Source organism: Homo sapiens, chromosome 14 (genome assembly GCF_000001405.40).
Source record: "Homo sapiens chromosome 14, GRCh38.p14 Primary Assembly".
Lineage (NCBI taxonomy): Eukaryota > Metazoa > Chordata > Mammalia > Primates > Hominidae > Homo > Homo sapiens.
In genome coordinates, this window is record NC_000014.9 from 39,306,772 (window position 1) to 39,322,921 (window position 16,150).

Sequence of the window (16,150 nt, forward strand, 5' to 3'; positions counted from 1 at the left end):
TACAGGAGATGATGCCTTCCTTCATCTTAGAGGAGTTGAGGTTATTATCTTGATACCTTAATGTTAGAGTTGTTCAGAGTTGGTACTTCAATTTTAGAGGCGCTCAGAGTTGAGGTAATTATGTTAGAAGAGAAACGAGGTTTTTAAAAAAATTGATGCATAAATTATAAAGCATTCATAATTATTTAGAATGATTCATTTTTATTTTATAGATTTTTTTAAAGATGGCTTAGCGGTTGAAACAACGCTTAAAGTTGGTATTTTTCTCTCTGGTCTTGATCTGTTTTAAACTAGGAGTATGTTTGGGCATTTGTTATGAGAAGATCTAGATTTCTGGCTTGACTTATATGTCAAAATTTTAGCTTAAAAGGGAGGGCTAGGTAGAATTTAAGTATTATTAAGAGAGAAAGTTTTTACTAGATAAAAACAGGCATTATTCATCACCTGGAAATAGTTTTACGGGGAATGTTGAACTACAATATCTCCCTTTAAAACTCTTATCTCCAAAACCTTCCTGAGAACTTTAGTGGCGTTTAGCTCTAAAATTGAAAATTAGATGCTAGAATTAGAATGTTGAAGGTGTTGGGAATCCTATAAATAATAACAAAAGTTAAAAGAATTTTTTTTTTTTTTTTTTTTTTTTTTTTGGAGACAGGGTCTCCCTTTGTCATCCAGGCTGGAGTGCAGTGGCGTGATCTTGGCTCACTGCACGCTCTGCCTCCTAGGTTCAAGCAATTCTCCTTCCTCAGCCTCCCAAGTAGCTGGGATTGCAGGCACGCCCCAGCACGCCTGACTAATTTTTGTATTTTAAGTAGAGATGGTTTTGCCATGTTGGCCAGGCTGGTCTTGAACTCCTGGCCTCAAGTGATCCACCCCCTTCGGCCTTCCAAAGTGCTGAGATGTACAGGCGTGAGCCACCGTGCCCGGCCAAAATTAAAACAATTTATATAGCTCCTTAATTCAGATATTAATGCACTCAATGGAGCACTATTCAGCCATCAAAAAATAATGGGATCCTGTTTTGTGGCAACATGAGTGAGCCTATTTTAAGTGAAATAAGCCACACGAGAAAGAGAAATGGCTCATGTTCTCACTTATATATGGGAGCTAAAAAAGTTGATCTCATACAAGTAAAGAGTGGAATAGTAATAGTAATATGAGGGTGGGAAGTATAGAGGGTAGGGGGTTAGGGAGAGGTTAGTTAGCAGATACAAAATTATAACTAGATAGGTGGAACAATTTCTAATGTTCTATAGCACTGTAGAGTGGTTAGTTAAGTTGCTGTATATTTATATTTCTTTTTCTTAGATCTACTTTATTTGTCATATTGTTATTTTTGAATAGCTAGAAGAGAGGATTTTGAATGTTCATAACATAAAGAAATGACAAATGTTAGAGGCGATGGTTATGCTAATTACCCTGATAGGATTATTACACATCGAATACCTATATTGAAATATCACACTGTACCACATAAATATGTACAATTTTTATGTGTCAATCAACTAATAACAATAAAAGCATTTAGGTAAACAGAATCCCTTATAGATTTTCTGTTATTGGAAAGAGTTTAGTTTATTAATAATTTATTATTTTTAGTAATTTTTATCTTTCTGAAATGTTAATATGCAACTCAAAATGTTTCTCCTTTAATTATGACTTAAAATTTTTATATAGAGCATATTAAAAATCTTCAGACTGAACAAGCATCTTTGCAGTCAGAAAACACACATTTTGAAAATGAGAATCAGAAGCTTCAACAGAAACTTAAAGTAATGACTGAATTATATCAAGAAAATGAAATGAAACTCCACAGGTAATAAAAATTATGTTAACTCCATTGAACAGCAAGTAAAATAGCTTTAGAGATATATGTTACATAGTTAGCTATAGTGATTATTGAAAGTTCTCAATTTATGATTAGATTGTATTTCATCAACTTATTTTTAAGAAAGGTATTTGATCTGGAGACACTTTTTTTCAACAAAGAAAATATTGTAAGTGATGTTGGAATTTCCAAGCTAGTTAACAGAATCCTCTTTAGCTCCTAGTAAGTAGTCAGCAACTTATTGCCTTAAACTTCCTAATACTGGCAGGGAATCTGAATGGACACTCTTGATTAAACTGCCCATTAATTCCATCTCTGATATATGTAAAACTGATTTTTCTGTTCTGTGCAAATTGCTTCTGCCCAGGTGTTCCTTGGCTTAGTAAATGGCAGTGTCCTTTACTTAGTTACTTAGGGTGGCACCTCAAGCTGTTTTTGACTTCTCTCTTGCTTTTATATCTCCTATTTATTCTGTCATTAAATCCTGTCAGCTTTTTTATAGCCTGAATCTGACCACTTTTTACCATCTTCCATATTAGTCTAGTCCAAGTCATCAACAGTTAATACCCGGCTTATTATAGTAGCCTTATGGGTAGTCTCCTTCTTTCCGCCCTTTCTCCTGCACTGTGTTTTCTCTGCAACATGCAGGATGACCCTTAAAATGTGAATTGTGAGTATGGTCACTCTCGTGCTCAAAATCCCTGAGTGCCTTTATATCACACTCAACCCACAGCTTTTATATCTTGGCCTACAAGACAGTACAGGATTGGACCCTTGGCCACCTCTTTAATTTTAGCTTATTCATGTTCTTTTTCCTCTCAGTACCCTCCATCCAGCACTGGCCTTTTTGATGCTCTTCAGCACATTGACCTTAGGGTCTTTTGTGCTTGTTCCTTCTGCCTGGAATGATGTTTCCTTATATATTTGAATGGCTCAGTTCTTCATTTTATTAGGCCTGGGTTCAAATGTTACCTCAAAGAATCCTTCCCTGGCTACTCTAACTAAAATAATACCTGCTACTCTTTATTCCCTTATTTTGCCTCATGGCTCTTATTGTCCTCTGATTGATTGCTTTTCTTTCTTTTATCTTCCTTATGTTAAATACAAGCTCTGAGAGAAAATTATTTTCTTCACTTCTGTATTCCCAGTGCCTAAAGCTACATGAGACGTGTGGTAACTGTTCAGTACATGTTTGTTGAATATATGTACAAATATGTTCAGTGCCTTTATATATTGGAGTGAAGGAGTGTGTGTGTGTACATGCTGTTGCCTAAATGCCTAAGTACACTGAAGACCCTTGAGATATCTGAAGACTCTAGATTTTCAAATAGTGCCATGGCATGTATTTTTTTTTTTTTTTATCATAAAGGGTAATAAAATGTAACAGACTTTCAGGTTCCTTTAGGCTCTTAATGATAGTTATTACAGTTGTTCCTTATTATTTATAGAATCTGTATTTGTGAATTGACTTACTAGCTAAAATTTATTTGTAAATCAGATCAGTACATGCAAAGCTTTTGTAGCCATTCATGGACATATTCAGAATGATGAAAAATTTGAGTTGCCCAATGTGCATGTTCCCAGCTGAGGTCAAACAAGGTGACACTCTGCTTTCTTGTTTCAGCTCTCATTCTGTAAACAGGTGTCCTTTTTACAGTATATTTAGTGCCTCATTTTTTACATTTTTATGCTTTTTGCTGGTGATTTAGCTGTTTAAAATGCCCCCTAAGCATAGTGCTGAACTGCTATGTAGTGTTTTTAAGCACAAGAATGCTGTGATATGTGTTATGGAGAAAATACATGTGTTAGATAAACTTTGTTTAGGCATGAATTACAGTGCTTTTGGCTGTGAGTTCAATGTCAATAAATTAACAATATATATTAAAGAAAGTATCTTTAAACAGAAGCACACAAAAAAACAAGGTTATATATTGATTGGTTGATAAAATTGTTGTGACCAGAGGCTGTAGCAGGAAGCTAACCCTGTATTACCCTTAGGAGCAGTGATCTAGTATTTGCTAATTTACGATGTATAGTGACTTTATGGAACAAAACTAGCACAAATAATGAGAATCTACTTTATCTATTTGGAAACTGGTAGAGAGTACTAATGCTTCTTTGAGATCAGGATGCTGGGTAGTGCTTGGCTCATTCACTGCCAAGTTCTGTACTTCAGTCATGATTTGGATTCAGTTCACAGTTAAAAAGCTGTTATTTGTTATGGCCCTTTGGCCCTTTGGGACTGCTCAGGGTATGCAAGAGACTAAACGTGACAAAATGGAAGAATTACAGTATAACTTCAGGGTTTTTCAGCCAGTATACCTAGGAGTGGGCCCTTCTTTTTAGGTTAGAATGAAAGGTATTAAAGTAAAACTTGGATATAAAAGTGATTGAGGTGAAAGAAATATTTTTGAGTGTATCTTTTGAATAAAAAAAGTATATGGTTGATTATAGAATTTTGATGAGTAATGTTTAACATTTCAAAGAAAAGGTATTTTCTTTAGATTTTTAAAGGAAGGATAGGAAACTGAGTAGTACCCTAGTTGTGTGTGTTGTTCACAGGATTTCATTCATTAGTTTAAAATTATTTTAAATTCCTAAAATATTTTACATTTCCTTCTTATATTTAACTAGCAAGTAGTTTATATTACTGAAATTCAATGAATTATGCCATTGGCACTTCTTCAGAGTAGAATATTGAGTTGATAGTACCAGTGAAGTGTTAAATTTATATTCTTGCTGCATATAGTATAATTTAAGTTCAGTCTGGATGTTGGCTTGATGTTTTTCATGACTGATATACCATTTTCCCAAATTTAATAATGGAAACAAATGAAATGGTAGGACCTAGAAGCTTGATGTGTTGCTTTTTTTTTTTTTTTTTTTTTTTTTTGGTGAGATGAAGTCTTGCTGCGATGCCCAGGCTGGAGTACAATGGTGTGATCTTGGCTTACCACAAGCTCCGCCTCCCGGGTTCACGCCATTCTCCTTCCTCAGCCTCCCGAGTAGCTGGGACTACAGGCGTGCGCCACCACTCCTGGCTTATTTATTTATTTTTTTTTGTATTTTTAGTAGAGGTGGGGTTTCACCTTGTTGGCCAGGCTGGTCTCAAACTCCTGACCTCTAGTGATCTGCCCACCTTGGCCTTTCAAAGTGTGGGGATTATAGGCATGAGCCACTGTGCCTGGCCCTTGATGTGTTACTTTAAATATATATGATGGTTTTTGTGTGTGTGTGTTTTTTTTTTTGAGATAGAGTCTAGCTCTGTCGCCCAGGCTGGGGTGCAGTGGCACGATCTCGGCTCACTGCAACCTCTGCCTCCTGGGTTCAAGCAATTCTCCTGCCTCAGACTCCCGAGTAGCTGGGATTACAGGTGCGCGCCACCATGCCTGCCTAATTTTTGTATTTTTAGTGGAGATGGGGTTTCACCATGTTAGCCAGGCTGGTCTCGAACTCCTGACCTCATGATCTGCCCACCTCTGCCTCCCAAAGTGCTGGGATTATAGGCATGAGCCACTGCACCCGACCAAGATATGATATTTTTAAGTCATATCATCAGGTCTCCTTTCACAGTGTAATTTCTATTATTAATAGGCCCACCCAAATTCAATGGGAAGGTACATAAACCTCACCTTTTATCAGGAGAGGTGTCAAAGAATTTCTGGCTATCTTCAGTCTACACAGTCTGTAAAAACACATCTCTCTTCCATATCCATGCCCGTCGCACTTTCGTGCTTTTCCTAAGGAGATGACTTATTTTCTTATAACATCCATGAAAGTGATTGACCTTAGGGAATGCTTTCTAAGCAATAGGTAATGTAGTGTGTAGAATACAAAATATTTACTGCCATACTGCAAGACTTCTTCAGTAGTTTGTCTTGTTCTTCTCAAAGTTCATGAAGAAGGGAAGATATCCATTTAGGACTCCAAATGTGTTTTCCTGTGGTGTTCAATAAATATTTCTTGGGTGACCAAGATATATTAATGATAGTATGTGAAATGAAACAACATGGGTATTATAGCATAAAAGAGTCACTGCTTATGAGCTCTAGGCTTTGGTTTAATTATTTCTCTGTGCTTCATTGTCGTTTTTGTAAGATGGGATAACAGTACCACCCTTCTTGTAGAGCTGTTGTGGTAATTAAATAATACATGTAGAAGTCTGAGAACAGTTTTTGGCACATACTAATGGCTCAATAAGTTATCTATTATTATTATTAATAGAATTAGATGTAGTAAATAGGACTGCTACTACTACTGTTTACTTTGGTTTCATTGTAATTATAATTGTGTGTGTGTGTGTGTGTGCGTGTGTGTTTACTTGCCTGGAAGCCTAATCACTAACCAATATAAAAATTAACGAAACACATTTTATTAATTGGTGACTTCTTACTAGCAAATGTAATGCTTGTTTATACAGAAAGACTTGATAAGTGATAGTCATAATAGTTTTTATTAAATATATCTTTGATCCTATTTTTAAGATAAATTTATATAGAAAACTCTTGAAACTATTAGTAGTTCTGTATTAGACACAATGCTTTACAATTTCGGTTTATAATATTAAATTCAACACCAGGAATATTTACACAGATACTTTTTTTTTCCTTGTAGGTGATGTTTTCAGTGGTATTTTAGAAATCATTTGACAGGAATCACCAGTTTTTTCACAATTAAAAATATAGAATTGATTATCTTTTGACATGTATTAAGAGAATTATAACATTTTTTGTTTTTAAGGAAATTAACAGTAGAGGAAAATTATCGGTTAGAGAAAGAAGAGAAACTTTCTAAAGTAGATGAAAAGATCAGCCATGCCACTGAAGAGCTGGAGACCTATAGGTATTAAATACATTTTTCTGGTTTCTTTTTTGGAATGGGAAGAGTATCTAAAAAACTTAATGCCAGAAAAATAATAAATCAAATGAAAATAGAAAACATTTTAAAATCTGACAGGTGGTACAGACAAAAAAATAATATATTTTTGTCTCATCACTTTTCATTCAGATTTCTTGGTCTTGAGCAATTATACAGAAAATATAAAGAGGAAAAATGTTTTTCTTTCAGGTTGTGTGATTTTTAAAATCTCTCAAAGTTGAATATGGACAATTCTATTTTATGTTAGTGTCAATATGAATAGATATTAATTTTAAGGTCCTTCCTCATTGGTTCAAATTGAGAAGAATGTATGTAATATTAGTGAATCAATAGGTGTGCCACAAAAAGAAGAGTGAGCCATAGAGCATTTGGAAGTATTTAAAAGACTATAAATCTAGATTTTACCTTGGTTTGATCCTTACTAGATCCCAGGAAATAGAAAATATAGAGAAAAAAAGATTCAGCAGTATCCCAAATAGTTGTGATACTTCATTTTACCTCAGAAAGAGCAAGCTTGCTTTTTATCCAAAATAAGTTATCTTGTTAATCTCACAAAAGTACCAAGTAACATTTTACTTCACAGTGGTTGCTAATTTCCTAGAATTCTATTAAGACTACCCACATCTGGCCGGGCATGGTGGCTCACGCCTATAATCCCTGTACTTTGGGAGGCCAAGGTGGGTGGATCATCTGAGGTCAGGAATTCGAGCCCAGCCTGGTCAACATGATGAAACCCCATCTCTACTAAAAATACAAAAAATTAGTTGGTCGTGGTGGTAGGTGCCTGTAATCCCAGCTACTCAGGAGACTGGTGCAGGAGAATCATTTGAACCCTGGAGGTGGAGGTTGCAGTGAGCCGAGATTACGCCACTGCACTGCATACTGGGCAACAAGAGCGACACTCTGTTTAAAAAAAAAAAAAATGACCAACATCTGAATAAATCTTCTAGGATCATTCTTCTTAAAAATAAAAAAAAAACAACACAATATACCACGTAAATATTTATGTGACTTTGGGTTTAGGTAAACTCAAGTAGTAGTATTAAGTTGTAATCAATGTTAAAATTAGTTTAGGAAAAAATATACTGTAGAACCTGTCAGAGGTGATTATTTCTTAATGTGGAGTTCTGGAGTTTTTTTTTTTTTTTTTTTCATGAAGTAGAGCATTCTGGGTTTTCTAATAAATATTTTTTTAGTAGAGAGTATGTTCTGTCATTTCATGTTATATGTTAATAGTAGAATAATTATTCGTTCCATTTAGAAAGCGAGCCAAAGATCTTGAAGAAGAATTGGAGAGAACTATTCATTCTTATCAAGGGCAGGTATATATATATGTGTGTGTGTGTGTGTGTGTGTGTGTATATATATATAATTTAAAACAATTCTGATTTCTTTGAATTGATGCAGGAATATAATTACTTGACCAGTTGTATACCTCTTTTGAGGTGTTGCATGTGGCTGTGGGACATTTCCCAGGAGCCAAAGATTCTGAGATAAGAAATCTTATTTAAAATTGCTGTATTGGCTGGGTGCAGTGGCTCACACCAGTAATCCCAGCACTTTGGGAAGCCGAAGTGGGTGGATCACTTGAGGTCAGGAGTTCGAGACCAGCCTGGATAACATGGCAAAACCCTGTCTCTACTAAAAAAAAAAAAAAAAAAAAAAAAAATACAAAAATAGCCGGGTATGGTGGCACATGCCTGTAATCTCAGCTACTTGGGAGGCTAAGGCAGGAGAATCACTTGAACCCTGGAGGCAGAGGTTGCAGTGAGCTGAGATCACGTCACTTGCACTCCAGCCTGGGTGACAGAGTGAGACTCCGTCTCAAAAAAAAAAAAAAATAAAATAAATAAAATTGCCGTATCTCCTGCTGCTTTGGGAAGGTAGATTGCATCACATAAATGTGTATCAACAGTGGGGTCTCATACTCAGTCAGGCTAGTTATATGTTAACTGGCAATTCCTGTTGATTATTACATAAAGTAAAAGTTTACCAAACAAAAAATTTAATTGTCTTTACATTCAGTTTTTGTTTTAAAATATAATAGATTATGTATACATGAAAATTTGCTTTAAAAATGTTGCCTACTCTTCAGAGATGCTTGGGATAGTTTTGAGTTGTGCACTACATCATAGTGGTAGATGTGAATGTTTTTTACTTAAGAAAAATAATGGTCAGTAGCATTTTAATTACTTTCTTTTTCAGATTATTTCCCATGAGAAAAAAGCACATGATAATTGGGTAAGTTTAAAATTTCCTTAAGTCTCTTTTGTCAAATTGTATGTTTTTTTCAGAAGATACGTTGTTTATTTAAATTAGATGAAAATAAATATAGTATTCTAAAAAATCAGTTTCTTTTAATTTTACAAGTAGTGAAATTATGTTCCTTGTGAACTAGTTTGTTCCAACACAGTTATTAGAAAAATCTGATTTTTCCTTCTTTGCTTTTATCACATTGCTTCTTTGAAAGGAGTTTATACTCCATGGGGAAGGTGATATAATGTTCATGGACTGATTGTTCCAGGGCACTGGATTGCCACTAATTAGTTGTGGACAAGCTACTTAAAATTCTTTGGGCCTATTTCCTCATTTGTGTAACAATGGGATTAGATTAAGTGATCTTAGAAGCCCCTTCTAGTTCTAAAAGTCATAAAATTCAGTTACCTGATCCTCAGTGTTGAATTACTGGGTACACATTAAGAAAAGGGTCATCATGAGAAATAGTGTATTTGTGCTCCAGAGGAACTAACTGTGTGAGGAAGTGATGAGGATGCAGATTTTGACTAATTATAAGAAAGACACTGTAACATATAGGACTGTTGTAGTAGCTGGCCTTTGGAGTACTTGTCACTAGGAGTCTTCAGCAGTAGGCAGTTTGCACAGTGGGTGAATACATGGAGTTTGGAATTAGGCTGTCTTGGCTCATGTCCTGGCTTCATCACCTATCATCAGTTTTCTTACGTGTAAGATAGAGATAGCAGTAGTACCTATTTCATAGGGTTATTGTGATGATTAAATTCATGTAAGGTTGTTGCCAAATGCCTGACACACAGTATACATTCAGTGAATGTTAACTGTTGTTATTGTTGTAGTGAAGCTTGGTAGGTATTTCTTAGACATGTTGGAGTGGAGATTCCAGCCTAGGGTGAGAGATTAGGTGTGGTGAATGTCTAGGTCCTCCTCAGTTGTAAGATTCTGTATGCTTTAGTATTGAGGGTTCAAATGAAAATTTGTTACTAAATTAAGCTGGGCTTGGAGATGAATTTAGTTAACCACTGCTCACCACTTGTAAAATACTTAGGTGTAGATTACTCTTTGAAGATGGAGAGGTCCACACACAGTCCCAGGGTAAGACGGTAACCAGGCTGTTTCTGGAAGGGCAGCAGGAACATCTTACAGATCTTACAGAGACACTGACTTGTAAAGATTAGAATGAAAACCACAAACAACAATGGCCAAGAAGGGAATATGCTGAGGTCCAGAGGTAACAATTCCACATCCCTCCCTCACCGCTGCGTATTTAGTGAAGTCTTCTAAGGTAGATAAAGGTTATCTCAGATGACATGGGTAGAGGCTACAAAGAGACAGTTAAGCAGTTGGATATAAAGATCGGGACAGCCAGATGACACCTAGGATATATCTGTCCTCACGTGTTCTAGAGCACAGGGCAGGCAGGAAAACCCAAGGAACCACAGGCTAAAGAATTACATATCAGGAAGGTCACTTGGGAGAAGCTCCACAGACAAGGTGTGTTTTTAGCTGAATTGGGATTGGTAGAGGGAATGAAAGTGACACTGAGCAGTAGCTTGTCACACGCTCCAGAGCTGAGCTACCCACAGGAGCAGACGGGTCTGGGCAGAAGACAGTTAATAGGAGAGGCTCATATTAGTTTCTGAAAAGTCACATGGTAACAGAGTTTAACTTGTTTTTTAGGGAAAAAGTGTTCATTTCAATGAACTAATCACCCAATCAGATAGAACCCAGGCTGGCTGAGTTTAGAGTCCATGAGGCTCTGAACGTTTGACCCCAGGGTGGATGGGGACAAGGACATGGCTCACACTGTCAACTTTAGAGATTTGAGGGTAGGGGGATAATAAAGTCTCAACTACACAAAAAGGATGTTTATTAAAATCTCTTGTGTCCTAGGCACTGTACTTAAAGGCCTTTTACATACATTACTTGTTCAATCTACTCAGTAACTGTAAAGTTGGTACTATAATCCCAGATTTATGGATGAGGAAACAGCCGAAGGTCATGGACTAGAGGGTAAAGAGTGGGTATAGAAATTCTGATCTTTCAGAGTCTAAGTCTTACACTTTTTCTTACTTCAGTGATTATGATTTGTATACCATTGTTGTGATATATATATATTTTTAAGAAATTTAATGAATGTTTATATTGACATATTTATGCTTATTTTTTAAGTTTATATAAATATATTTTTAAAATGTGTTATTTTCTTCAAGTTGGCAGCTCGGAATGCTGAAAGAAACCTCAATGATTTAAGGAAAGAAAATGCTCACAACAGACAAAAGTAAGTATCTTAGTGGGAACATTTAAAATTAGTTATTCTGTTATTTCGTTAATTAGGTAATACTTTTATAAGGTTAAGCAAGAAAACTTGCAGTGAATCCAGCATATCTTGTGAGATATCTATTAGTTTTACTAGGAATGTCTAGTTTGTTTTGTCTGTTGAAGTACTTGTCTTAGGTCACTGAAGTGGCACTTGGAGGAAACTGTTAACAGATTATTCTGCAAAAAGTATAACTAGAATTTTTTTTAAACCAGTGTAGATGGATGGAGGTAAAAATGGATGGAAAGAGAAGGGGTGAATCTCTCTGACATAGTAATGCCCAGAATATCAGCCTCTTTTAATGGATAAGTAGATAGGATAATATTCATTAATTTCTCTCATTTCCTGGTTTTGTAGTATTGGGTGACATTGTTTTACAATAATAAAATGAAAGGTAGAATAAAAGTCTACAATGTACAATAGCAGGGAAGAATAAGTGCTTTTCTGTGAAGATGATAACAGTCTTCCTAGAGTGTTATAATTTCTTGTCACAATGTACTGTTAACATTATCCAATATTAGTTTTTAGTCCTCTTGCTTGTCTTTTCTAGTCTCAGAAATTAAAATCAAATTATTAAATGTTTTATATCTCATGATTAAGAACTAGAAATAAGATTCTTTTAAAATGTCACATTTGTAGGATAAAAAGTTTACGAGTAAGATAGTAGGACAAATTAATGGGATTTCCAGTGTTGTAACTGGAATCATGAGTGTCACGTTACAATGGAAAGCATACATGACTCAAAGCCAGGAACCCTGTGTCTTAATCCAGGCACTTTCATTGTGAATAAATATTTAAACTCCTAGCCTCAGTTTCCTTAGTTGTAAAATGATAGACTGGTTGACCTTGGAGGACTCTTGTATTTCAAAAATTTGGATTCTGTGATATAGTACTCATGGTAGTCTAGTTTTGAAGAAGAAATAAAACAATTGTAAGGCTCCACATAACATCACTATCTCTAGGGCAGCAAGAAACTGATTACCCTAGTTAATAAGCAGTGGGAGATAAAGGTGTTTTGGTCAGAATAATTTTAGAGGATCTGTTTGTTCTGTGTAGATATTAAAATAGTGAAGAGCAGCTTGTAGTTGGTAGAGGCATTTTTTCTTGTGGTGCTTCTCTTGGATGAGTAACTTAGAGATGTTTGTTCTTTATTTGCAGATTAACTGAAACAGAGCTTAAATTTGAACTTTTAGAAAAAGATCCTTATGCACTCGATGTTCCAAATACAGCATTTGGCAGAGGTAGTCTTTTTTTTTTTACCCCTCATTTAAAATACATATTTTACATATATATATATATTGCACATATAGTTTCTATTAGTGTAAGTTAACACTGTTATTTATATAAATATTTTAGATTTTAGAACCAAGGTTCTAGACTAAGCTTTCTCATAGACTCACAAGCTTCTAGGTTTTGTTTCCTGTGCAGTAATGAAAATTACTGTTGCTTTTATTTCTCAGTGGGATTTTGTAAGATGATACATATTTAGTACTTTGAGCTCCTTGAAAAGCTAGGTGCTTGGCACATAGTAAGGTACTCATTAACAATTTTCTGTGAGATTGAATGAATAAGGAGTGCTTACATGGACTAGCATTGTGACTGTTTATATATTAACTATACTTTGGAATTTGCTTGTTTAATAATTAAAAAATAGTTTCTAATTATTTAAAAGTATCAATTTAAAATGTGGGAAAAACTCAGTCTGAGGTTTGATTGCTTTAATTACCCTCAAGGGAGGACCAATTTTTTTTGTAAGATATATTTAATATTTCTGTCCATTGTTGAGTTAGGGTCTGCAGTGATCTCAAACTATTGCAAACAGTTTAAATTTTTTCATAATAATTTTGGTTGAATTGGAATTAAGCTTCTAAGGTACTGAAAAATCTATATATAGGTAGAATTCCATTTTAATAACCTTGGAAAGTTATAAAAATCACTTTTGAGAGTAAAATTTCATTAAAATGAAAGTCTGTTTCTACATTTAAAAAATATTAGATTATTACGAATTTCAGGTAGTAACAAAGTTTGGATTGGGGTGAAGTATATAGAAGGATTTTTTTTTGTCTGAATCCAACACAAAATTTCAAGAAGGGTAACTAATGCTTTGATCTTTTCTTGTAGCTGGTTTGAATATTATACCAGCTACACTCATGTTTTAAATTTAACATGTTTTAAAAATGTTATTTTGGTGGTTTTTGTTTGTATTTTGTTTTTGATTTTTGACTTTGGAAACAAAACCATTATTTGAGAGTGGTGAAGTTTGTAAAGTGGTAGGTGTCTTGGCTGTATAGATTATAGATAAAGTGATTTAGTTGATAAATTAGTATTTGTAAGCTGACTTTTTACTGGTAATGAATCAAAAGTAAATTGTGATCTTGCTTCAGAGTATTTTATGCATTTTTCTCCTCTTCATAATCTGAGCATTATTTAAACAATTCATGGCCCAATACAGCCTATCTGGCCCTGATTTAAACTGAGTACTTCTATGTTGCAACTCTCACCAGCTGAAATGTCTGGGTGCATACTGCCAGTAAAAACAAACCAAAAAAAAATCTAACTTTATGCTCCTATAACTCTAAGATATATCTCCAATATCCTTTGCTTAATATAAATGATTATTTATCATGATCTTTTTATTCCCAGTTCGTTGATGTTTTTATTGCTTAAAGTGTCTATTTGATAGACAAATATCGAAAACACCAGGGTCTGTATTTAATTCTGTTCTATATTAGCAAAATCAAAGGATACATTCAGGACATAGATTAAACTTAAATTGGCAATAGGATGACCTGATGGTAATTGTCGAAATGGGATTCTAACTCTGTAGTGTAGCTAAGTGAAACTATGAATTTAAATATGCTGTTTTAATTATTCCAGAGCATTCCCCATATGGTCCCTCACCATTGGGTTGGCCTTCATCTGAAACAAGAGCTTTTCTCTCTCCTCCAACTTTGTTGGAGGGTCCACTCAGACTCTCACCTTTGCTTCCAGGGGGAGGAGGAAGAGGTATATTGTTTAAACATCTTTATTACTCTAGATTTCTTCCTTACTTTATATTTTCATCTCAACTTACCTTAAAAATGATCTGTAAAATATTTGGAAAATACAGGCATTCCTTGCACTTACTGTAGATAACTTTTATTTGGAAAAGGAGCTCTATGACATCTAATTTTGATGTATTTTTCTCTTAGAAACCGTGCTATATTAGATAACATTTTGATCAAGGACTTGATGTGTATCTTTTTATTTATTTTTCTTTTTAATTTTAATTTTTATTTTTTGAGATGGAGTCTTGCTCTTTCACCCAGGCTGGAGTGCAGTGGCGCGATCTTGGCTCATTGCAGGCTCCACCTCCCAGGTTCACGCCATTCTCCTGCCTCAGCCTCCCGAGTAGCTGGGACTACAGGCGCCCGCCACCATGCCCGGCTAATTTTTTTTTGTATTTTTAGTAGAGACGGGGTTTCACCATGTTAGCCAGGATGGTCTCGATCTCCTGACCTCGTGATCCACCCTCCTCGGCCTCCCAAAGTGCTGGGATTACAGGCGTGAGCCACCACGCCTAGCCTGATAACGTATCTTTTTAAACCATATTTTTGACTTCTTAAAAACTATATATTACATGATATAATATAAAATTTTGTAAGACTGCATGAAATATAATAACAGTATAACCTAGCATAAAAATTATCTATGTGTATGTATATATATGTAATTTTTTTTTTTTTTTGGAGACTGTTTTCACTCTTGTTGCTCAGGCTGGAATGCAGTGGCGCGATCTCGGCTCACTGCAACCTCTGCCTCCCAGGTAGCTTGGATTCTCCTGCCTCAGCCTCCTGAGTAGCTGGGATTACAGGCACATGCCACCACACCTGGCTAATTTTTTTTTGTATTTTTAGTAGAAAATACAAAAGGTTGTTTTGCCACATTGGCTGGCCAGGCTGGTCTCGAACTCCTGACCTTAGGTGATCCACCCGCCTCAGCCTCCCAAAGTGCTGGGATTACAAGTGTGAAACACCATAAAATTATATTTTGATGAAGCATTAGAATTTGGAATTAAAAAAATTTACATTAGTATCATGATCTTTTTATTGTAGAAAATTAGAAAGTGAAATAATCTTTTTATAGACTCAAGGAAATCAGTAGTGCTCTTGTAGGCAGATTTTTGATGGGAACCTTTACTGTGGTCTGCATCATTTGTTAACACACTGGGGGCTGGGCGTGGTGGCTCATGCCTGTAATCCCAGTATTTTGGGAGGCCGACGGGGGCAGATCATGAGGTCAAGAGATCAAGACCATCCTGGCCAACATGGTGAAACCCTGTCTCTACTAAAAATACAGAAATCAGCTGGGTGTGGTGGTGGGCGCCTGTAGTCCCAGCTACTTGGGAGGCTGAAGCAGGAGAATTGCTTGAACCCGGGGGACGGAGATTGCAGTGAGCCGAGATAGTGCCACTGCACTCCAGCCTGGCAACAGAGCGAGACTCCGTCTCAAAAAAAAAAAAAAAAAAAAGTACATTGGGAAACCAAGCCACAATTGTCTGCTGTTACCCCCTTATAGGTACCTCAGGCCTAATCATTAGCTATTCTACATTTATCTCATCAGCATCACCCTGGTGTTACAAAAGGCCCTAGTACCTTTGAAAACTCCTGTGTACCTGGAGTTTTCCTTTTTTGATCTCTCACCATACTTTCTTTGTCAAGTTCCTTTAAAGTTTTATCTTAATTTGTGGCGAAATTCAAAGATATAGGGCCTTATTTATTTCAAAATCAAAAGTCTTACATTTTCAGTTCCAAGTATGTGTTTTATAAGAGCTGATGGCATTCTTCACCAGTGAAACATTCCCACCCTTTGTATCAGTGATTTTAACAGAT

The 16,150-nt window shown here is 35.5% G+C and overlaps 1 protein-coding gene across 61 annotated transcripts in view; it reads left to right on the forward strand.

Moving 5' to 3' along the window:
• The window catches only part of MIA2 (MIA SH3 domain ER export factor 2), a 154,608-nt gene that overhangs the window by 72,857 nt on the left and 65,601 nt on the right, over positions 1-16,150 (forward strand). For 41 of the 61 annotated variants that reach the window (NR_148722.2, NR_148723.2, XM_024449592.2 and 38 more), the window contains 7 exons: positions 1,678-1,816; positions 6,569-6,670; positions 7,968-8,028; positions 8,912-8,947; positions 11,173-11,240; positions 12,438-12,520; positions 14,157-14,285. Coding sequence is in view for 58 of the 61 variants with exons in the window: in XM_024449592.2 (XP_024305360.1) it covers positions 1,678-1,816; positions 6,569-6,670; positions 7,968-8,028; positions 8,912-8,947; positions 11,173-11,240; positions 12,438-12,520; positions 14,157-14,285 (618 nt within the window). In the remaining 3 variants the exon portion in view is untranslated. The remainder of the gene's footprint in view (positions 1-1,677; positions 1,817-6,568; positions 6,671-7,967; positions 8,029-8,911; positions 8,948-11,172; positions 11,241-12,437; positions 12,521-14,156; positions 14,286-16,150) is intronic. The other 20 variants (NR_148721.1, XM_024449595.2, XM_047431398.1 and 17 more) reach the window with 1 other exon arrangement.